The sequence below is a fragment of the Homo sapiens genome, chromosome 2, assembly GCF_000001405.40.
Source record: "Homo sapiens chromosome 2, GRCh38.p14 Primary Assembly".
Classification (NCBI taxonomy): Eukaryota; Metazoa; Chordata; class Mammalia; order Primates; family Hominidae; genus Homo; species Homo sapiens.
The window spans coordinates 216,345,352-216,372,697 of NC_000002.12; the positions used below are offsets into that span (position 1 = coordinate 216,345,352).

Sequence of the window (27,346 nt, forward strand, 5' to 3'; positions counted from 1 at the left end):
TTTTTTTTTAAGAATCTTGCCTCGAGGCTTTCCAAAATAAGCTACTTCTTTTAGATTTCTGATTCTACTTCCAATAAATCTCTTGACAGCACAGCCTAGCCCATCTGGACCAATCAATCAGCCTTTATCATCAAGCTATATTTTTCTCCACTTCCCCCTTCCTGGGATTTGCAACCCTGTCTGCACATTGGAATAACCTAGGGAAAGTTAAAAATACCAATGCCTGGTCCCACCCCTAGGGATTGACTTAATTGGTCTGGTTTTGTGGCTGGGCATTGGGAAAACCCTCCCAGATAATTCTAATATGCCAGCTAAGAATGAGAACCACTGACCCCTTTGCTGCTCAAAGTGTGATCTGTGAATTAGAAGTACCTGCATGAGCCTGGATTCCTGTTTGAAATGCAGAATTTCGGGCTCTACCCCAGATCTGAGAAATCAGAATCTGCAATTCAACAAGGACTCCAGCCTTGTTCTCCACTGAAGCCTGAGAAGCTCTATGCTAGAGAACTAACCTCTTAAATCCACCCACCCCATGTAAAATCAAATAGGAGGGTCTCCGAGATCACACCTCCTTATCTCTGAGCAGCCTGGCAAAGAGCTGATGTCTGCTTTTCCCTAGAGTGTGAAAACAGGCACCTATCAACCAATCATGAACAAGTGCTTCCTGACATCTCAGCAAGCAGACACTCAGTATTTGAGTGTTGTCTCTCGGGCTTAACAGTCTACAGTGTAGTTAGCTGGAGCATTCTTGTAAGATGACCAACTGTCCTGGTTTGTTAGGGACTGTCCCAATTTTAGCATTGTAAGTCTCACATCTTGGGAAATCTGTCAGTTCTGGGCAAACTAGAATAGTTGGTCATTCTATGTCAAGCAACATTTTGAATCGATTTTAAGCCCTCCACCCCCACCCACCCACACACGCACAGACACCCCATCAAAGGCAAGCTCTGCTTCTTTGGTACCCACCACCCCCTCATGAACACACATAGCTAGGAACTTGGGTGTTTTTGTGCATATAGTTAATGCTTTAAAATGTTGGTTCATTCATTCAACAAAAATTCATTGAGTGTCCTCAGTGTGCCAGCCTCTGCAAAATACTGAAGTAGACACAACACCTGCCCTTATGGGGATTACAGTTTAGAGGGGAATACAGAGTGATGATATGCAGTGGAGTGAGCGCTGTGATCACTGTCTGAGTGTAGGGATCTGCTGAAGCTTATAGGAGGAACACCACACATGTGTGCCAGAAAGGTCTGAAGGATGGGAGAAATTAACCAGGTGGGGGCAAAGGGCATAAGTAAGGAGATGAAAGCTTCTAAGCAGAGGGAATAGTGGTCCATAGGTTGGGGCAAAAGAGAGCATGGCTCCTTTGAACCTGAAAGAAGTTCAATATTCCTAAGGAAGATACAATGAGAGGTGGGAGGTAAGGGTAGGCCATGAGTTTAGAGAGGTAGGCAGAGGGCAGTTGATAGGGTTTGAGTCTGTGTCCCCATTCAAATCTCATGTCAAATTGTAATCCCCAGTGTTAGAGGTGGGGCCTGGAGGGAGGTGATTAGATCATGGGGGGGATTTCCCCTTTGGTGCTGCTCTCGTGGTAGTGAGTGAGTTATTGCGGGGTCTGGTTGTTTAAAAGTGTATAGCAACCACCCCTTTTCTCTCTTCCTCCTGTTCTGGCTATGTAAGGATGTGCCTGCTTCCCCTTCACCTTCTGCCATGATTGTCAGTTTCCTGAGGCCTCCTCAGCCACGTTTCCTGCACAGCCTGTGGAACCATGAGCCAACTAAACCTATTTTCTTTGTGAATTACCCAGTCTCAGGTATTTCTTGATAGCAGTGTAAGAATGGTCTAATACAGCAGCCTATGAATGACCCTGTAAAACAAGTCAAAGAACGGTGGCATCATTCTAAGAGAAGGGGATCCACAGAAGAATTTAAAGCCAATTTTGAGAAGCAGACTTGGGTGAAAAATGATCAATCACTCTGCAATTCTGTAGAAAATAGAATGGAGAAAATAAAAATGAAAGCAGGAAGTCAAAACAAAGGCTTAGTAATCCAGGAGCAAGAGAGGAGGGTAGCTTGAACTGAGATGGTGGCAGTATAAACATCTCTTGAATCCATCCGTTTCTCTTTATCCAGAGAGTAGAAGCCATAGAAGAACACGGTGTTTGAAAAATGCCGACCAGCCTGGCAAAGATGATGAAACCCCATCTCTACTAAAAATACAAAAATTAGCCGGGCGTGGTGGTGGGCGCCTGTAATCCCAGTTACTCAGGAGGCTGAGGCAGGGAATTGCTTAAACCCGGGAGGCGGAAGTTGCAGTGAGCTGAGATGGTGCCACTGCACTCCAGCCTGGGCAACAGAGCAAGACTCCGTCTCAAAAAAAAAGGGGAAAAAAAAGAAAAAAGAAAAATGCCCTTGATGGAGATAGGGTGACGGTAAAGACAGAGAAGAATTGGGGATTAGGCACAGGGTTCTTTTTTTTTTTTTTTTAACTTTTTATTTTGAACTACTTCCAGACTTACCAAAAAGTTGCAAAAATACAGTTTTCATACATCCCTCATTGAGTCTTTTCTAATGTTAATGTCAGAGGCATTTTAACCAGAGCAACTCCATCTTGAATAGGGGCTGGGTAAAATGAGGCTGAGACTCACTGGGCTGCATTCTCAGGAGGTTAAGGCATTCTTTTTTTTTTTTTTTTTTTTTTTAGACAGAGTTTCGCTTTTGTTGCCCAGGCTGGAGTGCAATGGCGTGATCTCAGCTCACTGAAACCTCCGCCTCCCCGGTTCAAGTGATTCTCCTGCCTCAGCCTCCCGAGTAGCTGGGATTACAAGCATGCATCACCACACCAGGCTAATTTTGTATTTTTAGTAGAAATGGGGTTTCTCCATGTTGGTCAGCCTGGTCTCAAACTCCTGACATCAGGTGATCCACCCTTTGATCGGCCTCTTAAAGTGCTGGGATTACAGGCATGAGCCACCGTGCCTGGCCGGTTAAGGCATTCTTAGTAACATAATGAGATAGGAAGTCAGCACAAGATACAGGTCATAAAGACCTTGCTGATAAAATAGGTGGCAGTAAAGAAGCTGGCCAAAACCCACCAAAACCAAGAAGGTGATGAGAGTGACCTCTGGTTGTCCTCACTGCTACCCTCCTACCAGTGCCATGACAGTTTACGGATGCCATGTGATGTCAGGAAGTCCCCCTATGTGGTCTAAAAAGGGGAGGCATGAATAATCCACCCCTGTTTAGTATATCATCAAGAAATAACCATAAAAATGGGCAACCAGCAGCCCTGGGGGCTGCTCTATGGAGTAGCCATTCTTTATTCTTTTACTTTCCTAATAAACTTGCTTTCACTTTACTCTATGGACTTGCCCTGAATTATTTCTTGCTAGAAATCCAAGAACCCTCTTTTGGGGTCTGGATCAGGACCCTTTGCCTGTAACATTAACATTAGACATATTCACTGCACAATGATCAGAATCAGGAAATTATGGTACACACTAAAGACTCCATTCAAACTTGATCAATTTTCCACTAACATCCTATTTTTTTGGTTTGGTTCCAGAATTCCACATTGCACTTCATTGTTGTTTATCCTTGGCCTGCTGCCATATATCACAGTCCTTCAGTCTTTCTTGTCTTTCAGGATTTTGACACCGAGAAGACATCAGTGATTTTGCCAACTATCGGTCAGTTTGGGCTTGTCTGGTGTCTTTAGGTTTCTGCATCTGAGAGCAAGAAGGTAAGCTCCTTGAGAGCAATTAGTCATTGTTCAGTGACTAATTCCCAGTGTGGTGAGCAGTAACAAATTCAGTGTGCACGTGCAATGTGCTGAAGAAAGGGCTGAGAGAATGATGTACTAACCACAAGATGGTTAAAAACATAAGTTTCAGGGATCTCTCCTCTCCTGTCTTAGCAGAAAGGGGAGAATACTGGTTAGGAAAACAAAAACAAGTTTTTCTTCAGTGGATCCATCAAAGTATCTAAGTGCCTAATTGGCTTCGATTGTGGTAATTACATTACCTTTCTGAGCCTCTGCGATTGCTAGGCACAAGGTTCTGTATAAAGGTGAACTAGACACATGGAACAAGCTCCCTTGAGCTCATCGTTCACCTGGGAGGAGGAAATGGAGGTTTCACAGGTACATAGTGATAACAGAGCAGGCGGCCTGCACTGTGTGCTGCAGAAGCACAGCTGGGGATGATGTGAAGTGCAGGAAGGAGGCTTTATGGAGAAGGTGACATGTGACAGGCTAGGGCTTGGAGGAGGCTGGGCTTGGAATGGTGATGGAAAAGAGGCCTCAGGGGGGAAGAATGCCTTTGAATGGAAATGAAAGGCAGAGAGCTATGGAGTCTATATGGAGATGCAGGCAGTGGGGATTAGCCAGAGTATCTGGTGGGAGGTTAAAGTGACAAGGCTGGAGGCTCGACCAAAAGGTTAGGGTCAGACCTCAGGAGTGCCTGGTTGTCACTGGGCATTTAACATTTTTCTCAACAGTGAGAAGCAGCAGAGTGAACTGCTCAAAATCTTTATTATGTAGGGTCACTGGGTCAGGTCGTGGCCTGATGCTTTCCTCCCAATCTCACTGCAAGGGACAGCTGGGTGGAGGCAAAAAACTAACATGCTCAGGGGCCTCTGGGCCTTGCCCTCCTGTCTTCTGACACTCATCAAGTGGATTTCTTTCACCTGCCACACCACCTTGCTTTGCCACACCATAATGTGATACAACATGACCTCACTATGCCACAACACAACCATGCTATGCCACACGATGCCACGCCATGCCACACCACCACGACCATGCTATGCCATGGCATTACACTGTGCCACAACACAAACATGCTACGCCACTGTCTCATCATGCCACACCCCCTCGCTATGCTACTCCCCCTCACTCTGCCACTCCCCCTCACTCTGCCATACCCCCTCACTGTGCTACACCCCCTCACTGTGCCACACCCCTCACTGTGCCACACCCCCTCACCATGCCACACTCCTTCATTACGCCACACTCCCTCACTATGCCACATCCCTCACCATGCCACAACCCCTCACCATGCCACACCCCCTCACTATGCCAGAACTGCACACTATGCCACACTACCTTGCTTACCCACACCATCATGTGAGCCACATAACCTCATCATGCCACACCATCACCACTGTGCCACACCACCACACTGTGCCACACCACCACACTGTGCCACACCACCTCACTGTGACACCAGACCACCTTGTTTGACAGGTGCCTGCGGGCCCCTTCTCCCCCACCTCTCTGGTCTGCTGTTGCACATGCTCCTACCACCAGCTAGAGGTTCTGTTGTCTAGGAAGCCACTGGCCTCTGACTCATGCAATCTAAGCATGCCCCTCCCTGTTTTCTGCCCCTGATGTTATTGGAACATCTCATCATCATGGTTTTTTATGACAATCATTTGCTCACACACTTATCTCTCTTGTTAAACCGAAAAGTTATTGAGACGGAACCATATTTATTTGTTGAGTTCCTAGGGCTAGCACTATGCTTGGCACATCACAGGTACTTGAAAAATAGCTGCTAAATTTAATTATGCTTAATTAAACCGTAGAAAGAGCATTGAACTTGGAGCCAGGAGCCCAGAACCCAAACCCCAGTCTTACAACAAACAAACAAGTTACCCAACCCTCCAAGTCTGCCTCTAATCCATAGGAGGGGAAAGGGATAATAATCTCAATTTCATAGTTTTCTCCTGAAGGACCCTATTATATTTCTGGAGCATAATAGCTGTACTTCTGCCCATTGCACTTACCTCAACTGTAATTGTTTATTCAGAGTGAATAGTTTCTAGAGTGGAAACATGCAAAGAACAGACATTACTGCCACTGGGAGTCCCACTGCATGCCAGGCATCACCACGCGCAAGGAAAAGAACATCTTGGATATTTGAAGCAGAAATGTAGTGGAGAAAGGACATGAAAGTTGATCAAGAAATTGTCAACCCTTTTCGAGAGGCTGAAGGCTTATCAGCAGAGGGAATGCAAGAGCTACAAGCAGAACTATGCCAAGAAGCTTGGCTGGTCCAAGTGCAGTGGTATTTACAAATAACTGACCACAACCAGTTACAAATTTCTTTGTTCCTTTTCCACCCCCACTCCTTCACTTGACTAGCCTTTAAAAAATAAATAAATAAAATAAATTTTAAAATAATAAAAAGAAGAAGCTGGTGCAGTTCAGCCAAGGGGCCAAGGCCACCAGGACCACTATCATGAGCTGAGGACCCACAGTTCTGCTGGACTTCACTTCTAGGGTAAGCTCCATGAGAGTGGAGGCCTTGTCCGTTTTGTTTATGACGATATGGCTATGGCTAGCACAGCATCTATGCCTGACAGTAACACAAACACCTCACTTAACCTCTCTAGACCTTGACTGACTCATCTCAAAGATGAAGGAAGGTCCCTTTCTCAAAGTGCATTATTCTATAAATAACAGAACCTGTTAACCCTTTCCAACATGAGGGTAGGTGGTAATAATGCTGATGGCACCTGGGGATTAATTTTAAAAGGACAAAAAAAGGCAAATGTAGTTCCTTGGTTGTGCGTCTACCAGATCCCTACAGGTATGAGCAAATGCAGAATAATGGGAAGGACTAGATAATTCCAAGTGCTGAGAAAACTATGGGGTATGTGCTGCATTTCTGACTTTTTTTTGGCTCTCTGTCCAGAAAATGGCCTCTAGGTAAAAGATCTGGAATGAAAGTATGCATGAGTCTTGAAAGAGATCCGATTTGCCAACCACATTGGAGGGACCTTGGCACGTCCAGGGGTTTGGGGCTTCTGTACTCCCCTTTGTCCACCTGTTTTAGTCCCCAGCAACCTGATGTGATTGTTACCATAGTGATCACCCCAAATGGAGGTACTCCTGTGTCCCCCTTCCTCAAGTGGGCTAAGTAAGGCAGCCTCCTGGTGGAAGCCAGGCTGGGTTAGGCCAGGGCCTGCACAGATGGAGCTCCCAAGTCAAGGGAAACTCAGCTGCCCCAGCAGATGCTCCAGGGAGGTCGACACAACTCTACTGCCCAGGGTGAGTGTGCAGAGAAAGGAGGATGAGTGAGTGCTTGTGTATGGAAGCAAAGTGGGCCTTTCCCTTCCTCCCAGGGGTGACATTTCTTTCCTCTCTCTGAGCTTTTGCTTTTTTTGTTGTTGTTTTTTTAATAGAGACAGGGTCCCACTATGTTGCCCAGGCTGGTCCTGAACTCCTGGGCTCAAGCCAGCCTCCCACCTTGGCCTCCCCAAGTGCTAGGATTACAGACATAAACCTCCATGCCCAGCCCCTCTGTGCTTTTGGAAAAGCTCCTCCTTCGACCTGGAGCGTGTTCCACTCTCTTATCTTGGCTAAATTCAGGTCTACCATAGATATCTCATCTTGTGAGAAGCCATCCCTGACCCTCCTCAAGCCTGCCCTCCCACAGCACCTTGAGCAGTTCTCAGTCCTTACCATACTATATCTTAATTCCTGCCCTGCAGTCACAAGACTGGCAAAGCACCAAGAAGACAGGAGCTGTGTTCCAATTCACCATGGTACCCAGAATCCTCATGCGGTTCTGGCACAAAGCAGCTGCTCAATAAATATTTGCAGAATGGATGAACTAGAGATTTTATTCCCCTTGTGTGGGAGAAAGATAAAACAAGTTGATATCACAGTTTAAATAAAAGCCACCCACCAGCTTCTACAAGATATCCTGTGGTCTGTGAAGCTAGAACTTCATTTCCTGTGCCTTTTCTAACCACGGAGCCTAACTTCAAATGACAACACTTCAACATAAAAAAAAAAATTGAGGCGATGTTCAAATGCACTGCCAAGTAGCCTCACATTTTATAAAGACTTTCAACAATAAAACTGAAATAAAACTTACAGGGGTTAGCCCCAAATTCACTAGAAAATCAAATTAACCATAAACTCCCACCCATTCTCTTTGATCGCTTCCATTCTCTAAACATTCTGGTAAATTAGTCCTTTACTGCAATATATTAATATGTAGGAAGTGAATAGATGAATAGCTCTGAGGCAGGAAAGGGGGTGAAAAAAGGAAGAATTTATTTCTCCTGAAAGGTGCAGATGTATTCACTGATATTTTCTAGTCTAAGAATAGGAAATATCAGCTTAGGGATTTGCCTTCCACCTTGAACATGTCCCCTCACCTCTCTGGGTCCTTGTTTCTTCTTCTTCTTCTTTTTTTCTGCGATGGAGTCTTACTCTGTTGTCCAGGCTGGAGTGCAGTGGCGTGATCTCAGCTCACTGCAACCTCCACCTCCCAGGTTCAAATGATTCTCTTGCCTCAGCCTCCTGAGTAGCTGGGATTACAGGTGCCTGCCACCATGCCCAGCTAATTATTGTATTTTTAGTAGAGACAGGGTTTTGCCATGTTGGCCAGACAGGTCTCAAACTCCTGACCTCAAGTGATGTGCCCACCTCGGCCTCCCAAAATGCTGGGATTACAGGCATGAGCGACCATGCCTGGCCTCCAGTTTCTCACTTCTAAAGATCAGGAAAACAATGCCTACTCTTCCCTCCCACCATAGAAACATGAGCTAGTGGCTGTGCATGTGTTGGAAGATAAGGAAGCTTCTGAACCCACAAAGTTTCTTCCAGACCCTCTGGTGGCTTCCAGAGAAAAACTCCATTCAATCAACCAAGATGGCTTTGTGGAGTTACTGTTCCCAGGCAGGTGCCTCCAAACACATCCAGACTTCTAGGCTGCTATTACAGAAAGGTCATTAGGACCAACCACAGAAAGGCTGGGCTTAAGAGGACTAGTTGCTAAAGAGGAGTAAGCACATCTCTCCCATCTCTGCACCCTACCCCGCATTCTGGGTCTTAAAGCACAGAGGGCAATTTGAAATGCGGTGAGAGAGAGACAGGATTAGGCTGAGTAGGAAGGAACACATTTCTGATGAGGAGAATCAGGGTTAATCTCTTATTGCCATATTTTGGCATACATTTCCACATGGAGAATTCTCTTAACTGCCTTGACTCCACCTACTCATTCTTACTCAACCACTAAAAGGCAAGTCCACGTGGGGTCCTTCTCCAGCTTTCCCAGGCATCACTAGTCACCCCTCCTGTGTGGTTTTTTAGCACAACATATGCAACCCTGGTCCACGGCACTCATTATGTTTTGTGGTTGTTCTCAGCACGCCAGTTTCTTGCACTAGACTCCAAGCTCTCCATCTTATCTCTGCACTCCTGGGGCCTGACACCCAGTGGTGTTCACTCAACCTGTACTGAGTGGTCACTGATCTTTTTGCTGCCACTAGACCAGGGGAACCAGAAAGGAAATGGACGACAGGACATTTTCATCTCTAAATCATGACCTTGGGGGATGGAGGATCCCTTAAGAGGTCATCAAGTTGATTCCCCTCATTGAGCAAGACTGGTGAATACCTGGTGGGACTCACTCAGGTCCTCTCTGTCTTTGACTCTGGTCCTCAGCATAATTGTGCCCAAAGCTGTCTTGTCTACTCTCAGTTAATTCCTGCCTGTTCATGAAACTTATTTAATAATTGTTTTCTTTCTTTCTTTCTTTCTTTCTTTCTTTCTTTCTTTCTTTCTTTCTTTCTTTCTTTCTTTCTTTCTTTCTTTCTTTCTTTCTTTCTTTCTTTTTTGAGACAGAGTCTAACTTTGTCACCCAGGCTAGAGTGCAGTGGTGCGATCTTGGCTCACTGCAACCTCCACCTCCCAGGTTCAAGTGATTCTCCTGCCTCAGACTCCCGAGTAGTTGGGATTACAGGCATGTGCCACCACACCTGGCTCATTTTTGTATTTTTAGTAGAGACGGGGTTTCACTATGTTGGTCAGGCTGGTCTTGAACTCCTGACCTCAAGTGATCCACTTGCCTTGGCCTCCCAAAGCGCTGGGATTACAGACGTGAGCCACTGCGCCCGGCCCTAATACTTGTATTTTTATAATCTTTTTATTAACCAAACAATATGGAAACTTTCAAGCACATATAAAAGTAGAGAGAAAATCAGAATAAACCCCCCATGTACCCAGCACCCACCTTCAGCAATGACATGCAAAATCAGTCTTGTTTTACTTATAGTCACTGGATTATTTTGAAGCAAATTCCAGCCTCATGTCAAAGACACACTTTTTTACTTGAATTGCATTTGTAGAAAGAATAAAAATTAATTTAAATTAGGAGGAACCTTTCTCTAGGGTCACTTCCCAATAAGTGGATTTTTTGTTGTTGTTTGGTCTTTGGTTGGGGGTGGAAAGTCCTTGAAATCACATCACGTACTCTTTCTGATACTCAAACTGATTTTTTATTTTTTTGCAGGCAAATGCGTAATGGATGTCAAAATCCAGAAATAAGGCAGCAAGTATTGCACAGAATGTCTGCATTGACTTTGCAAAGACCAGACCCTCTGGGTTCTCCCTGGAACAAAGATGCACAAAAGGCTGGAGCAGCCAAATGGGCCAACCCCTGGAGTGCCTTTTTTCTTCTGTGTTAAAAAGTTGCATTTCATGCAGACCCAGCCTATTCCCCCAACCCCTCAATCTTCTCCCTCCCTCCTACCCACAAGCACACATACAACAGAAGGGACGCCTCTACACCCTCACCAGCTGCCTACACTCATTCACCTGCCGCTGGCTGGTTTTGGCACTTGTTTTCCAAACCAGTCAAAGAACTCACAGCCCCAGGACTAGAAAGCTCTTATTGCTCCATAGAGGCTTAAATCTGTGGCTCCTAGAGGGATCACCATGGGATAAATAAAAATATACAACCCACATTCCTTCAGTGTGCGAAGGCACTTTTTTGGCGGTGTCAGGTTAAGAAGTGTTCAAGAACACTGCATAATGGCCAATGCTGTTTGTGCTGATGATCCTTAACTCTGTTTAGATGCTGAAGGGCCCATATTGGGGAAACTTTCCTGGCCCCTCAACACTGCACTGCTCAGGTGTCCCTCTTGTCAATCTCAAAGCATGCAGTATACTTATACCTGAGGAACTGCGCGAAGCATGTTTATCATCCGCTTTGGACAGACGGGGAAGGAAAGACCAGAAAGGGAACTAATACTTCTCAAGAGCCCATTTCATGCACGGTGCTACGTATTGTCTTCTTAAATTCCACACAGTTCTATGAGATATTTATTTTCATTAGCCCCCTGTGACAGATAGAGGACACTGAAGTTCGGAGGATTTAATTGATTTGCCTAAAGCCACACAGCTAGTAAATGCTAGAGCCTGGATTCTAATACAGGTTTTTCTAATCAGCAAATCTATGCTCTTTTTGCTATACTGGTAATTCACAATTATTCCAAGTCTGAAAAGCCTCTTCCCTTTTAAGTTATTTTTATTTTTTAACTTTTCATTTTGAAATAACATTAAACTTATTTTAAAAATTATAAAAATAGGCCGGGCGTAGTGGCTCACTTCTGTAATCCCAGCACTTTGAGAGGCCGAGGTGGGTGGATCACTTGAGGTCAGGAGTTTGAGACCAGCCTGGCCAACATGGTGAAACCCCGTCTCTACTAAAAATATAAAAATTAGCTGGGCGTGGTGGCAGGCCCCTGTAATCCCAGCTACTAGGGAGGCTGATGGAGGAGAATTACTTAAACCTGGGAGGCGGAGGTTGCAGTGAGCTGAGATCGTGCCACTGCACTCCAGCCTGGGCAACAAAGCGAGACTCTGTCTCAAAAAAAAAAAAAATTATAAAGATAGCACAAAGATTTCTCATATGACTTTCACCCAAGTTCCCCAAAGGTTAAATCTCATGTAACCATAGTACAATGACCCAAACTAGGAACTCAACATTGATACAAGACTATTAACTAATCTACATATCTTATTTGAATTTCACCAAGGGTCCCACTAATGTCCTTTATGTGGTCCAGAATACAATCCAGATTATACATTGTATTTAATTGTTATATCACCTTAGACTCTTCCAATCTGAGATAGTTCCCCATCATTCTGTATGTACACTTTTATACACACACACACACACAATTTTTTGACATGGTCTTGCTCTGTCACCCAGGCTGGAGTGCAGTAGTACATCATGGCTCCCTGCAGCCTCTGCCTCTGGGTTCAAGCAATCCTCCCACCTCAGTCCCCTGAGTAGCTGGGACCACAGGCTTGTACCACCATGCTTGGCTAATTTTTAAATTTTTTGTAGAAACAAAGTTTCACTATACTGCCTAGTCTGGTCACAAACTCCTGGGCTCAAGCAATCTTCCCGCCTTAGTCAGCCAAAGGGCTGGGATTAAAGGCATGAGCCACCATGTCCAGCCTTCATTCTATATCTTTCGTGATGTTGAGACTTTGGAAAGTACTGGCCAGTTATTTTATAAAATCTCTCTAATTAGACTATTTTTAATATTCAAAAAGTATCACAAACCCTCAAATGACTGTAGTTATACTTCAAGTATCTCTTTGAGAATATATTTATTGACAAGCTACAGTAAATTGAAGGATGCTTTTGAGTTTGTTCCATATACTTTTGAAAAATAGTAAGTATATCTGTGAGATCATTTTATTTAGCTACAGGCAATGGTTGGGTATATTTAGTTTCATCGACTCCTGACAGATGATATTATGGCAGCTCCTTCTGAGGTCAGCAGCCCGCAATCATACACAGTCCAAGGCAGAAATTTTCAAAGTTTGAAGAAAACAATAGCGAGCTTGTGAGGTCAGACAAAAACACCAAGCCCTAATGTTTAATGTATGTTTGTGATTTTATTGTATGTTTGTATTCTGCACTATGCTAAGATTTTTGCATTCATTGTATCAGTTAACCTCACAACAACCTCTGGGACAGGTACTATTATTATCATTGCCATTCTACAGTGGAGGAAATTAAGATTCTGAGTCTATAAGTGACTTGCCCAAGGACACACATCTACTGCACAGTAACAATGGGATCTGAAAGCAGTTCTGCCTGACTCTACAAGCCCGTGTTCTTATCAACCTTGCTAATTTTCTCCAAAAGCATCTCTGACTCCTTGCTTTCATTGTCCTTATGCCAGGAACAGTCTTCATTTTCTATTTCCCAAATTCTTTTCCCTTTTCAGCCTTTAATGTCCAGTTTTTAGAACATTCTTCTAGGGAGGCATCTGCTATAGATAGAAGGAGGAATTGGATTTATATCAGCCCCAGGTGTGACTGGGGCATGATAAGGCATAAACAAGGACAGCAGAAGTAGAAGCAGCGTGGATATTCCAGAGCACAACCTCCTCTTTTTATAAAAGAGCAAATAAGAACAATCACTAGGAATACTTATTGCATGCTTAATGTGGGTCAAGTGGTGTTCTAAAAGCTTGCCATGTGTTTTCTCATTCATTCACTCCCTCTACCTTTATTGAGGTAGAGACTTCTAGAACTCACCCATCTCTGGAAAAAAAGCCTTCATCTTTTTGACAGTACCCAGAAGGATTATACTCCCCACCCCTATTGCTGTTAGGCAGAGCCATGTTCCTAGATGCAGCCAGGCATTTGTAGGCAAAAGTGATACGTCATTCCTGAGCTAAAACACTTCATTGTTGGGACTTAGTGAGCTGTGAGGGATAGAGCTGTGTACCATCTGTTGCCCTGCTCTGGGACCTAGGGGAAGGAAACCAAATGGGGAGAAATGGGAAGCAAGCCCCAGATTTGGCTTCACTCAAGAATACCCTCAGAACATAATTCAGGAGTGGGAATTTATGGTTGTATTAGTCAGGGAAATTAACATTAGCTGGGTAACAGACAAACCCCCAAGCTTCAGTGTCTTAACACAATCAAAGTTAGCATTTCCTTCATGTCAGAGCCCATGTTGGTCAGACTTTCCCATCTTGCAGCTATCCCATATAGGACTCATAGTTCTCAGATCCCTGAGGCAGGGGAGAAGAGAGATGTAAGAGGCATCCCTTCCTACCTCTGCCATGGGTGACACATGCCTCTTCTTTCCTAGTCACATGGTCCTGTTGTAGCCAAGCACCCCCATTTTTCTACAAAGAAGAGAATGAATTATTATTTTTATTATTTTTTCCTCTTCTTTTCTCTTTTCTCTGTTTCCCCCTATTAGCCACTTCCTACTTAGTCCTGTAGAAAGGCAATTACAGCTTTTTACCTCTTCTTCATCAGGCTCTCCCTACAGGGCAAGTTCACCTAACTATGTGTTTAGAAGCTTGAGTGGAACTCACCCACCAGGAGGTTGCCTCAAGAGACAACAGTCAATCTACAACCCCAAGTATGCCCACTACAAAACTCTCTCCCACCTGGAAAGCTTCAGTCGCATTTGCAGTCTAGTTCTGCTCATGAAGGTGCCAGCAGTCACCAGCTTGACTATCCAGTAGATAAGGCACTGAAATGAGTTATGCAGACCTCCACCTGCTTGCTTCCTCCACTGTGTGCCTTTCACGCTGAGACCCCTTCTAAAAGCACCTGCTTTCTGCTCTAAAAACGAAGTAGTACCCTTAAAGCAAGAAACCTGTACTTCTTCCCCTAAGTTAGCTTTGGAATAAAAAGTCACTTTCTTCATAGCAGATCTTGCTCTTATTAATTGAACTCTGCCAGCACTGAATGACTGAACTTGCACTTTTGATTATATCATACCCTCCCAATTAACTCTCCTCTCCTCCTCCAGGGCCCACACCTCTGTTCCTTGTTCCAGAACCTCAGGTCTGGTGGACACATTTCTTCTCCCCACTTGATTTCCTACTAATACACGGTATTCCTGAAGTAATCACCTACTTTGGAATTCTCAAAGTCAGAGATTGAAAATGCAGATCCCAGGGCACTACCCTGGGATCACAGCCTGGGACTCCATGTATCATCCCCTTCCTGAGGCACTTCTTGATGTCCACAGATGTTTCAAAACTATTTTAAATTGTAGCCAGGTCAGAATAACTTCAGTCACTTATACTTTTTGATGTATTCATGTACCATTTATACTATTATTTTCTTCAAACTTAACATTTGCCTTTAAATGTCTCACATTTCTATTTCAATAAATTTATTTCTAAGGGAGACTTTTTGTCACTGCCATAAATGAAAAAACTGGTACCATTTGCCATAAAAAGAATAGACAAACTCTGGGACATCCATGTGATGGAATATTATTCAGCGCTAAGAAGAAATGTGCTATCAACTACAAAAAGACACCGAGACATGGAGGAAGTTTAAATGTATATTACTAAGTGAAAAAGCCAATCTGAAAAGGCTACACACTGTATAATTCCAACTATCTGACATCCTGGAAAAGGCCAAATATTTTGCCGGGAGATCGGGAGTGGAAGCAGGGAGATGAATAGGTGGTGGGGCACAGTGGGTTTTTAGGGCAGTAAAACCATTCTGTATGATACCATAATGGTAGATACATGTCACTATATATTGGTCAAAACCCTTAGAATGTACGATATCAACAGTGAACCCTCATGTAATCTATGGACTTTGGGTGATAATGATGTGTCAGTGTAGGGTCAGTTGTAACAAATGTTCCACCCTGGTGGGATTTTTTTTGCTTTTGTTTTGTTTTGTAGAGATGGAGTCTTACTATGTTGCCCAGGCTGGTCTCAAATTCCAGGGCTCGTCTCAAATTCCAGGGCTCAAACGATCCTCCCACTTCAGCCTCCCAAAGTGCTGGGATTACAGGCATGAGCCACTGTACCTGGCCAAAGTATGGGATGTTGATGGTGGGGTTGCAGGGAGTACATGGGAACTCTGTACTTTCTGTTCAATTTTGCTGTGAACCTAAAGCTGCTCTAAAAAAATTAAGCCCATTAAAAAAAAGAATAGACACATACAAATATAAACAAAACAAGGTGAGAAATTCTAGCTAAAATAGTGCATGTCCAAAGACTCTGAGTCTAATGCCTTCTTTCTTTGTTTATAAAGCAGACTGACACCACTAGAAAGGTGTTAAAGATATATTATCACTATGGTGAGATTTTCTCCTAGATATAATCATGAAGCATAAGAGCAAACTGAAAAGGGAACAACATTCTTACCTGGGGATCAACGTTATTTAAAATCATGTCTGTCTGGGGCTGTCCATCCCATCCCAGGCTTTCAGAAACACTCGTCCAAGGAGGACCCTCAATGCAAATCCCTTGCTGTTACATATTGGGCAACTGTTTCCTCTGCAACTTCTTCTGCATGCTTGTCTGCATGCATGGTCTGCCCCTGACCTCTAGGTACTCAAAGTCCAGGAAAGTGTCTTTCTACATAGTTCCTGCCAAGCAGAGAGTGCTGCTTAATAAAGATCTGTCAGGGACCTGGTGATGATGGAGATGGATAAAGACAACTATGTTGGGAGTGAGGGATCCAAGGAAGAGAGGACAGAGTTCAGCTGAATCAGACAACACAGAGGCAGAAAATGTGCTAAACAGAGGCTGGTCCAAAACATGTATCCCTGATTGTCAGTCACAAAAACAGCTTGGGGTTTACTGTGATGGAAGCATAGCCTTAGACATCTGATTTTTTAAAGACTCCAGTGAGAGAGGGTAGTAGGAAAAGCAACAGTGTGATCTGAGGGCTCCATTCCAGGTCTCTGAGACACACTGGTGGGATGGGGTAAATATCACTCTCATTCAATTAGCAGTTGTTGTGTGCCTAGATCTTTAATGCATCATGTCAATTCCTTACAAATGTTCAAATTCAGTATTTTATCTCTGTTTTATAAACAATAAAATCTAGGTCCAGGGAGGTTAAATAAGTTGCCCAAGACCACTCTGCTGGGAAGGGCCCCAAATGGGAATGAAATCCATGTATTTTGGACTTCAAAGCCCATGTTCTTCCCATCATTCTGCAATAGTATAAGGAAATGCATGCTGGCCAAATGGTCTCAAGCCAAGATAATGATCACTATGATTACCAGGACAAGAATCATTGCTATTTCTCATTATAGAAACAGAAAATGAGGTTGGATGAGATTGCAAGGGGTCATCCATACCCTCATTGCTTGGCCTTTTCGTTTATACACACACACACAAATATGTCTTCTACCACACATATACTAGGGACCAAAGATAGCACTATTAATCTGGAATGAACATGTGCAAGTAGCAGGGGAAACGATTAGCAAATAATGAGTACCTACTGTATGCAGAGCCCTATGCTAGCCACTGGGGTGGCTTCAAGAGGGTTCTTTCAGACATTGATGTTGATTCTATTCAATCACATCCAAAACAATCTTTCCATGAAGGAGAAAAATAATTTGATCTGTCCTTCTCAACCCCTCTATGGACAGGTCCTGCAAAAATCCTCATGAGTACAATTCGCTGGGTTCAGGACTGGGGCCCTTGTGTCCCCCTTGTGGGGCATGAGGTCATTCTTGGATTACAGAGTTGGATAGAACCTATATTTGGAAACTCCCCCCTTTCTTTCCCTGACAATTTGCATCTACCTGGATTTCAAATTGTAACTTACTCAATTGTGCTATTTCGTCATGAGACAGTCAGCCCTGGGTACACCTCACCTTTGCTTTTACCATACACAGAAGGAGGTATCAAATGTGTACTATATGCACATGTAAACTCTGGCTTATACCTGATGCATCTCAGGAGGGGGATGGTATGCAGCTTGGGCCATACAGTATTTTCTTGCCAGCTCCTTTACATCCAGGCTCACTTCCAACTTGGCTTCCTTCCCAGCAAACAAGCAGCAGCTCGCTCATTCCCACACTCCTTTAAGTGTCTCCTCTCCCTCCAACCTCCTCTCCCTCCCCCATCTCACAGGCCACAGCTGGGCTTTTCCAGCATACCAGCTGGAAAAGGGGGCAGAAAGAGAGGAGAAAGAGAGAGTCCCAGTATCTCTCCTTTTTCTCTCCCAGCCTCTTCTGAAATCCATATTTCATAACTTCCTGCCCTGCTAGCCTTAAGTAACTTTCTCAATGGGGGCCTCAGCTAGAAGCCACATCCAATAAATTGGTCAGCTCACCCCAAGCTGATACTGGTAAGTGAAGGATTACTACAAACAACACTGTGTAGAGAACCTCACAAACAATTGATTAGAGAACTGCTTCACAACTGTCAAAACACAGGCATCTCCCCTCCTCTCATTCCCAGTTCTGCCCGTGAAAGTGAGACAGATGCATTCAATGTTGTATCCGTGCTTATGCGTGAGCAAGTTTGTACATGTAAGATAGCTATACCTGTGAAAGAGCCTGTAACCCTGTGGTGGGGTTTTAACATCCTTACCTTATCTCCCAATAGAGAATTAGAGCTTTGGTAAGAGCCTTGAGTGAAGAAAAGGTTCTTGGAGCTTCCAATTTAAGTAGGATCAGGACTGACAGAAGTAGGAACTGAAAGCTCAAAACTCTTGGAGGTAACTGTGCTCCCCCTTTCCCAGGATGGTTTTGTATCCTTGGGTCCATAATGGTGTCTGTTGCCTATTGGCCATGAAGGGCTTGCTCTCCCATCATGGTGTGTGCATGGTGAAAATTTACAATTGCAGCAACAATGTGGCTGGCAACACCTTAGGATTTCTATGAACACAGGACAGAGACTGTTCTCTCCAATCTTTGCTGAAGATATATTTGTATATGCCATGTAACATGTTTACTGGGCCTGGATGTCCTGAGATGAGATGACCCCTTGAATTGGAGAGGCTGAGGGGATCATCCCTTTTTGCTCAGATTAAAAATCTCCTGGACCCCAAAGTGACCTTATTTATGAATTCCAACTCCCGAGCTCAGAAAGGATCTTGAGGATTATCTAGTCTCCAGTCCCCATAAGATCCTCCTTCTAAGGTAGCCTATAAGATCTTGGGACAGCTTTGATAGAAAGTTTGTATAATAGTGAAACCCAAGTTTACTTCCCTGGAAATTCTATCACTATCGAAGGTACTGCCCTGTGGACCCTTTCTTCTGCAGAGCACACCTTTGGCATTTGACACCGCTTTTTTCCTAAATGTTCTCTTTTCCCCAGTTCTCCTACCTATGAAGCTGCCCACTAGATGAGCTCCAGAGGTTGTCCTTTCAAGAAATACTCATAGAGCATGAAGCGGGTGCCAGGTACTGGGTTGAGAGCCAATGATCTAACAATGAATGAACACACACAGTTCACTTCTTCCAGGGATCTTATAGTCCCTTTGCAGTGCTCCCCTTAGACCCAGGCAAGAGAACCCCTAGCTCTAGAGGACCCCACTCTGCTCCCCATTCAGCTGCACCTCTCCCCACAGTGTGAGGAGTCTGCGGGGTCAAGGAACCTCACCTCTCTTCTGGAATATGCTCCAGTTACCCAGAACCCTGGAATTCCTGTCCAGACAGCCATGAACTTGCTCCCAGGACCTGCAGGACTCTCTTCTTTGGATCCATAAACTGTTCCCTCCTTGGCCTAAGGGCAGGGATTGGGGCAAGGCACCACTGTTTTGGGGATGATATGGACAGAGCTTGGACAAGCCAGCAGGACTGTCCATACACGTTGGTCCAAGGCTCATTAGTACAGGCTAGAGTCAGCGTTGGAAAGAGAATCAGAATGTCCTGTAGACCAAAGGACAGTTATCCCCATTTGGCTAGTACAGAATCCAGAGACATCTAAAAGTTCTAAATTCAAACCTGTCTTCCAGGTTGCTTTGAAGGAGCATTTTTCAGGAAAGGAGGATAAAATATATTTTGTTTAACAGTTTGTTAGCTGGATTTACTACTTTTAAATATTTTGGAGCATGGTATGTGAGCTTCCATTTATACTCCTGCCATAGGGCCTGTAAATGTTAGGGATGGGTCTCTTCTTTGTGGAAGACAGATACTAAATAACCACACAAAGAAATGTAAAATCAAACCATAGCACTAAGACGAGTAAGTACACCATTTAAGTCTCTTCTAAAATGCTCTACTTGAGCTCCATTCCCAGGTTCTCATTGCATCTTAGGATCTCCAGATTCCCCAAGCCCTGAAAAGCCATATCTTATTCACAACTAACCAAAACACTGACTAGACTACTCTATACAATTATTGCCCCTTCTGAATGCAGAACTCCAGGGAAGCCAACCCCAGAAAGAATAAAAAGGCAGATTAAGCCTGCTAAACTTTTCCAGATACACGTCCTACTTTCCATTAGGGCCAGAACAGGTGGCCTCCCACCCTAGCTTCTGACTGCCATGGTGGATTTCATCTTTGTACCCACTGCTAGGCACTCCACAGCTGCCTAGCTGGGAGGTGGATTCACCTCTTTTCAAGGTATCCATGTGTGGAGTGCCTGGAGGTTGCTCCACAAAGATAAAATCCACCATGGCAGTCAGGTGTGGGGGTGGGGGACACATCTCTTCTGCTTCCATCTGTCTAACCTCAGTCTTGCAGCCTAAATCTATTTCTTCTCACTTGGTCTTCAGAAGCAATAGAGAAGCCTTCTCTAACTAACTGTAGATAAAGTGGCAAATTCCCCGACTTGTCTTTTTGAGTAGGCACCCCGCCCACTAGCTGCTTTTAAACATGCATCTCCTTCTTGTACCTGATATTACTGTAATTCACTCAGCCTCACTGTCTGTGTGTTCTTGATCTCTATCAGCCCCTGTGATGTCTGGGTTAGATTGTGAGACTCCCAGAGGGCAGGACCACATCTACCCTATGTCTCTGGACCTTGTCCAGCAGAACAGCAGGCAAAAGGTAGGTGCTTAATAAAGACTTTGATGATGGAAACGGACAAGCTCTGCTCTGTGCCTAGAGCATTATAAATCTGCAAGAAACAGTCCACATCCATGCCACAATCATAGTGGCTTCCTGACAGCCTCTGGGCTGGGGCACACCTTTTCTTTTAAACAAGGCAGGAACAGCACTCTCTTGCATCTGAGATAGTAATAACAATAACAAAATGCTACGATGGCACTGCTCTTATAGTATTGACTGATTTGATGCTCAGAATAATCTTATGACATGGGGACTATTATTATTATTCCATCTTTACAAATGAGGAATCCAAGACACAGGCAGGCTATATAACTTGTTCAGGCCTCCAACTGGGTCCATCTGGCTTCAGAGAGTTCAGATTACTCACAATGGTACATTGTCCCACAAAGTGGGCTAGTGCAGCTTCAACCAAAAACGGAGAGTGAGGAGGTTGTGAGCTGGACTCTGGTTCTACAGTCTCATGGGCCCTGACCCCTGCTCAACATGAATGAATGGTGGAGAGGAGAGAGGCTACTCAGTAGCTTTCTAGGATGGAGCCAAGTAGGTTCTCAAAGCAAGTGTTCACATCTATCTCTCTCTCTCTCTCTTCCTTTCTTCTCTTCTGTTTTTCCAACATGCTAAGCTCGTTCACATTCACGCTTTTGAACTTGCTATTTCCTTCACCTGAAATTCTCTTCCCCTAGACCTATGCATTGCTGGGCCCTTCTCATCATTTAGGTGTCAGCTCAGATGACACATTCTTAGGAAGACTTTTCCTGATTACCCTATCTAATGTGGTGGTACCTTTCCCACTGCCTCCCTTTCATTCCTTTCTAACTCATTTTCCTTTTTAAATTTCATCACAGAGCTTAAATCACCTTATTTACTTACTAGTTTACTTGTCTATTTATGTGTCTCTACTAGAATGTCAGCTTCAGGAGAGCAGAAATCTCATCTATTTTGTTCACTCCTGAATACTCATGCCTGGAACAGCAACGGGCACACTGCAGGTGCCCCGAAAAATTTGTTAAATAAACGCATGCACCAATGAATGGATGCAAAGTCCTTTGTAGATAGGTACAAAGGTGAAACTAGCTGGATTCTCTTGCTGTTCCTCACCACAAATATTGCAAGCTGTTGGCAGGAAAAGATCAAATACTCATTTTTTGGCAGTCGTTTAGCCCCTATAGCAGTAGTAAATGATTGGGGTGATGGGGAGCAGGGAGGTGGGGGTCTGCTTAATTCCTTTGTTTGGGCAGAGATAACACCAAGACATTCAGCTACTAAGATTGCAGCCCACATTTCCTCCAGGGCCATGTGTAGACAATTGCTGGACAGCTCTCTCCCTGAACAGAAATTAAAACACAGAAATTTTAGCGTGTCTCTCTCTCTTTCTCTCTCCCCCTCCCTCCTCCTCCTCCTTCTCTCTCTATCCCTCTCTTTCTCCCTCCCCTTCACTGCTGTTGCCTCTCTATCTCTCTCTTCCTTTTCTAGAGTTTCCCTTATCTCCCCTCCTTTGTCTCCTTCATAGAAATGCTGTGAAAAAAAAAATGAGAAGAAACTGGGAAACTGTGTTCTCCACATCTAATGCAGTACTCACATTGCTGTTATTACTACTATAACACAATCCCATTAAAGCCTCTTGGCTCCTGCACAGATAAGGTAAACCCCCAAAACAAAATAATCATATGCAGGAAGTGCTTAATTTGATCCAGTCTTAATGCAGACAGGGCCCCCTAATCCTCCCACATAATAGAGCCCATTCCTTTACTGGTGTTAGCTTTTTTATTCAATGCTTTATTTATGACACCCCATCAAAATAATGAACAAGAAAGGAAAGCTTCTAACCTCTGACCAGATCTTGTATCACATGAGGGTATTTCACAATATTGCCAATGATTTTTTTCTTTTTCTTTTTTCAATAAAATACAGCTTTCTGTTATCAAAATACATGCTCATTATATATAAATTCCTTCCAAGATATTTTTACACTTCTTTTCTCCTGGATTCTCCCAACACACCTCTGAGGAAAGGAGGGGGGGGCATGAAAAGGTGTCTCCAAATCACGTAAGTTGGAAAAGCAGCCCAGAGGCATGAAGCTATTTGAAAAAGTTCACACAGTGGGGGAAATATTATCCCAGGGCACCTCCAAGTCCTGCTGTTTTCTAGAGACAAGAATGCTCTTGCCAGAAGCCACACTCTCAGAAGCCCCTGTGACATGCAGACCTGAGCCCATATGGGAGAAAAAAGAAATGCCTTAGGAATTTAGGAAGCCAAATAATTCTTTCTTTTGGAGAGTATGAAGTACTTGATGGTGGCAAGATCCTGATATCAAAGTGAGGCACCCTCTTGTTGTCAGCCGAGCCACTCTACCCCATAGCTCTGCCAGAGCCTGGTGCTGGAAGTAGAGAGAAAGAATGAAGGGAAGGCACTCTGGAGGATTTTTCCTAACAGGAGTTTTCAACTCTGGACAACACTTTATTGGATACTTAGGTAATCTTAAGATGGAAGAACCCAGCCCCCAGCCTCTCAGAGACATTTATTCACACTAAGATCTATATCACTTCCCCTCATAATTCCAAGCTGTAGCTCCAGGGATCACTGGTCCCCAGAGTTCTTTGTCCATTGAGAGCAAAGCAAGAAAATGAATGAAAATGCCAGCTAAGCCTGCATCTTACAGAGCACACCCTCAGCAAGAACCAGAGCCAGTCAAAGCCTGGCATGGCATCCTACTGCACTGCCACTTCCTCAAGGAGTATCCAGAAATCCTCCCTGCACTTCAGGAAACTATTGAAGAAGTGGCTGATAGGAACACATAACCTTGCCCACCTTGCAATTGAATACTCCTTCTCCAGCATCACTAACTGCGTGAGCCTTTCTATCTGTGATTCTTTGGAGAGTGTTGCCACATTCTATAGTTCCTGAAGAATGTACACATGCTATCCAGCATTGCTGATACTAGATTGTAGGTGAACTTGGGAGGGGTGTCTGTGAAAATCTGAATGAATAGGGTAGGGAAAACCTGCCAGACTTGGAAAAGCCCTGGTGCATATGAGAGTTGGCATCCCTATCCTGGATGGGGAGCATTTAAGGGATTTTCTAAGTCAACACACTTTTTAGGTCTGAAAAGGGAAATAGCAAGATACCTTATTGCCTACGTCAGTCTCTTAAACTCATTCTCATTCCCATTTACCTGCCTGTTTTCAACATAGAAAAATTTGAGTCTGCCAAGAAGTGTCTCAGCAAATCATATAGTCTTGGACCTAGAATCCCTCTCCATTTCCTCCTCAGTTGCTAGAACATAATGCTGAGGATGTCAACGTGATATGAAAGGAAGTTGTCCAAAGTAAAAGAACAAGCTTACTGGATTTCAACCTATGAGAAAAGGAAAAGAGAACAAGATCTCGGCATACTCTCAGAGCAGGAAGAAGTTGGGATATGGGACTGAAGATGGGCTAGACGAAATGTTACTAACAACAAGTTAGATAAAAGGATATCTTGGCAACCAGTGTGAATGTACCACCAAGTTTCTTCACTCCGTTGTTTCTAGATCTTCTATTCTGAGGATGTTTGTAAAATTTGGAGTTGGAATTGGAGACACTAGCATTGGAAGGAAAATGCAAAACCTAGAACACAAACGAACCACCAAACAGGCTCCACCAGGAACCAGACACTCATTGGGCAAACTTAACCACAAGAAACATCAATGAGGGCTCTTAAACATAGAGTCCTCATACTAAAGACAATATAACCGTTCCCCAGGGCAAGCAGGCGAGTAGCAATCTGCAAGACCTGAAAATACCACAGGAAGCAGGAGAAGAGAAAAGGGGACTCACCTGTTCTGGCCCCTGGAAGCAGATGCGGCAGAGTGGGGTCCTCATACCACTGTCCAAGCTGCTGCCCAGTGAGTAGCGATCCTCGGTCTTCTCCTTACAGAAGTCATCTGAGGAGGCACTGCTGAGCAGCGAGGCAGGTGGCTCTGTGGCTGGGCCACCCCAGTCATCTTCCACAGAAGAAGGTGGCAAGGGGGGTGGAGGTGGCACAGGAGGGGGCTCCCTGCCCACCACTTCTCGGGGGCCCCTCCAGCCTGCCCACCCCCCGGCGCCCAGAGCCGGAAGGGTGTTGTTGGCCGCCAAACCGGGGGGCTGGGGGTCGCCGTGCATGGGCAGGGGCGCTTGAGGAGGGCGCCGCAGTAAGAAAACCTTCAGGTCATTGAAGAGCATGCGGCAGCGGCACTTGAGGAGACCCTGGTGGCGCAACATCTGGGGGGCTGGGGCACACAATCCATAGCAGTACCAGCCGGAGCAGCAGCACCACCACCACCAGAGCAGCCCACACAGGGGCATCAGCATGTGCCCCGTGGAAGTAGAGAGCCCAAGAGGGGTGGCTGGAGTCTTAAAAGAGGGGGACAGGACAGGTTTTGGGGGTCCACAGTGGATCTGTGTTGTGGGGGGAGTCTGCTTTCTCACTGGCTTTTCTTACAACCCCTCCAAGTAGCAAATAAATTGCTCCCAGGACTGAGAAGTGTGAGTCACTGGTTCTGAACTCCACCTGGAAAGCCCAATAACAAAAAAGTTTTTCTTGCCCTCACACACCCACCCCAACCTCCAACTTTGTTCAGTGTGTCTCCTTTCTGCTTTTGACCTGAGGACACTGGTAGGAGCAGAGGGATTGAAGAAGCGTGGTGGAGGGGCCACTAGAGCCTCTGTCGAATTGTTTAAATCAATGTCGAATTGTTTAAAAGTTCCCCAGGAAAGGATTATTGGGTTCTTCTCAAATTCCTACGCAGTGAGAAATCTTTCTTTTATATAAAAGGGTGGGGACAATTGTAAATCAAATCTGGAGTGGATTGAGCTGGGCTTAGAGAAAACTAGCTCAATGAAGAATTGAGGACTGCATGTGTGAGAGAGAAAAGATCGTTTTTCTCAGGTGGTAGGGGTTGGGGGAGTCAAGGTAGGGGAGGAGAGAAGATTGGGAGAAGTTTTAATTCTCCTGGGCAGAAAACTGGGGCAATTAACCCCCAGAAGCACCAGAGTTGCTTTTAAGAGAGCAGTTGGGTGGGGGAGGGGTGTTGCAGGTGAAACTGGGCTAGGGGCTTGTGCTTTGCCTCCGCAGCCAAAGGGTTACACCGAAGAGGGGAAAGCCAATTAGGAGAAGGGAGGTAAAATAGAGGTTTGGGAAGGAAAAAGGATGGGAGAAAAAGAAAAGATCGTTTAACCCTTGCAGAGGCGCCTCCTTCCTGAGCATGAAGATCCTGGCTAGAGGAAGGGTGTGTGTACCGGGGTGAGAGGGCAGTGGAGCAGAGAATAGGGGTAGAGGAGAGGGGCGTGTGGGAGAGAACAGGAGAAAGGAGTGGTTACATTATCTCAGCCCCCAGCCCACCCCTGCTGCAGTCGGCAAATCCGTGGCGCCCTCCCCTCGGTTCCATCAAAGGTCCCTTCGGTCGAGGGGCAAGAGCCGAGAGAAGGGCAGGTCCGGGCGGGCGAGTGGCCTCGCCTTCTCCTCCTCTTCCTCCTCTGGGTCGCGGTCGCCCTCCTCCTCCGGCTCCGGGTCGGCCCGCGCCCGCAGCTGCTGCTGCGGCGGCGGAGGCGACTGCTGCTCGGCGTCCGGGTGTCTCCGGGGCGGGGGCTGCTCCGGCTCGTCCTCTGGCTGCTGCCCGCCGTCCGGCGCGGTCGCGACTCCGGCCTTCATGATCCTCCTCCTCCTCCCCCTTCCCTGGGGGCCAGCCCTGAGCCCCCGCGCCCGGGCAGCGCTGCCATGCAACCAGAGGCGAGGCCGGCGTGGGGGTGGGGGCGGCTGGGGAGTGAGGAGGGGGAGTAATAAAAAATGAAATAATACTAGTGGAATAATTCGGTTCTCAGGCAAGAGTGCTTCTGGAGGGTGGGGGCGGAGGAGGGCGGCTGCCGGGTCTGCTCGGCAGCTCTGCCCCCGCTACCCCCACCAAGGGCGGCCTCGGCCCGCTCTCTGCCCCCCCACCCCGCCCCTTCCTCCTCTCCACCGCCTCTGGCTGGCTAGGCTCGCTGTTGCTACCTCTCCTCGCAGATGCAACGAGGTAAGGCTTGTTTGCGGTGCCAGCTGAAGGTGGGGAGGGGGGAGCGAAGCAGTGTGGCCGAGGTGGGAGGCAGCCGGCACTTGGCTCCAGCTTGGTCCTCGCGACTCCCCAAAACCGTATATAAATATATCTCTTATAAAAGCCGAGAGGAAGCAAATCAGATTCCAGGCTGCTGCCAGGTGTTGTCTCGTCTTCCGCCGTTGCTCAGCACCCGCCGCTGCCCCCACTGGCTCGATTCCCAAAGGGGTGGTGCTGGAAGGGAGGTGGCGGGGCGGCGAGCTGACCGTCCGAGAACTGGAAACAAGGTTCTTGCAGCGAGGGAGGCTCTCGGCTATCTCCGCCGCCGGCGCCGCGGCCGCCGCTGCTGCATTCAGCACCCCGGGCGAGTGGACAGCTCCCACCCAGACCCCGCGCGTCACGCTCGTGGGGGCCTGACGCAGACGCCGCGGAGGGATGGAGGAGGGAAAGGGGATGAGAGGAAAAGAAGCTGGAGGGAGAGGGAGCAAGAGGAGGAGAGAACTGTGCGAGGGAAGGGGATGGGGAGGGACCAAGGGAAAGGGAGGTAACCAGGAGAGGGAGGGATTTAGGAAGGGAAGGAGGAGGGAGCGAAGTGAAGAGTAAAAGAAAGAAGGAGAAAGGCCACGGGGAGGGAGGGGAGCGATTCAGGCACTAACTCTTGCATTTCACCTCAGCAGGAACGTGTCGGTGTGGAAGGTCTGGTTGTAGACTCTCTGCCC

The 27,346-nt window shown here is 45.8% G+C and overlaps 1 protein-coding gene across 1 annotated transcript in view, besides 1 other annotated feature; it reads right to left on the minus strand.

Annotated features, from left to right (window-relative positions):
- Positions 1–27,132, minus strand: part of MARCHF4 (membrane associated ring-CH-type finger 4) — a 114,619-nt gene extending 87,487 nt beyond the window's left edge. Inside the window, exon 1 of the mRNA NM_020814.3 lies at positions 24,394–27,132. Coding sequence (NP_065865.1) covers positions 24,394–24,909 — 516 coding nt within the window. The 5' untranslated portion in view covers positions 24,910–27,132. The remainder of the gene's footprint in view (positions 1–24,393) is intronic.
- Positions 4,037–4,734: an enhancer, noted in NCBI's record as "NANOG-H3K27ac-H3K4me1 hESC enhancer chr2:217214111-217214808 (GRCh37/hg19 assembly coordinates)". NCBI's record gives its function as "activates a minimal SCP1, AML or CMV promoter by ChIP-STARR-seq in primed H9 embryonic stem cells {active_cell/tissue: H9 hESC(primed)}" and the evidence as "EXISTENCE:reporter gene assay evidence [ECO:0000049][PMID:30033119]".
- Positions 27,133–27,346: the final 214 nt, after the last annotated feature.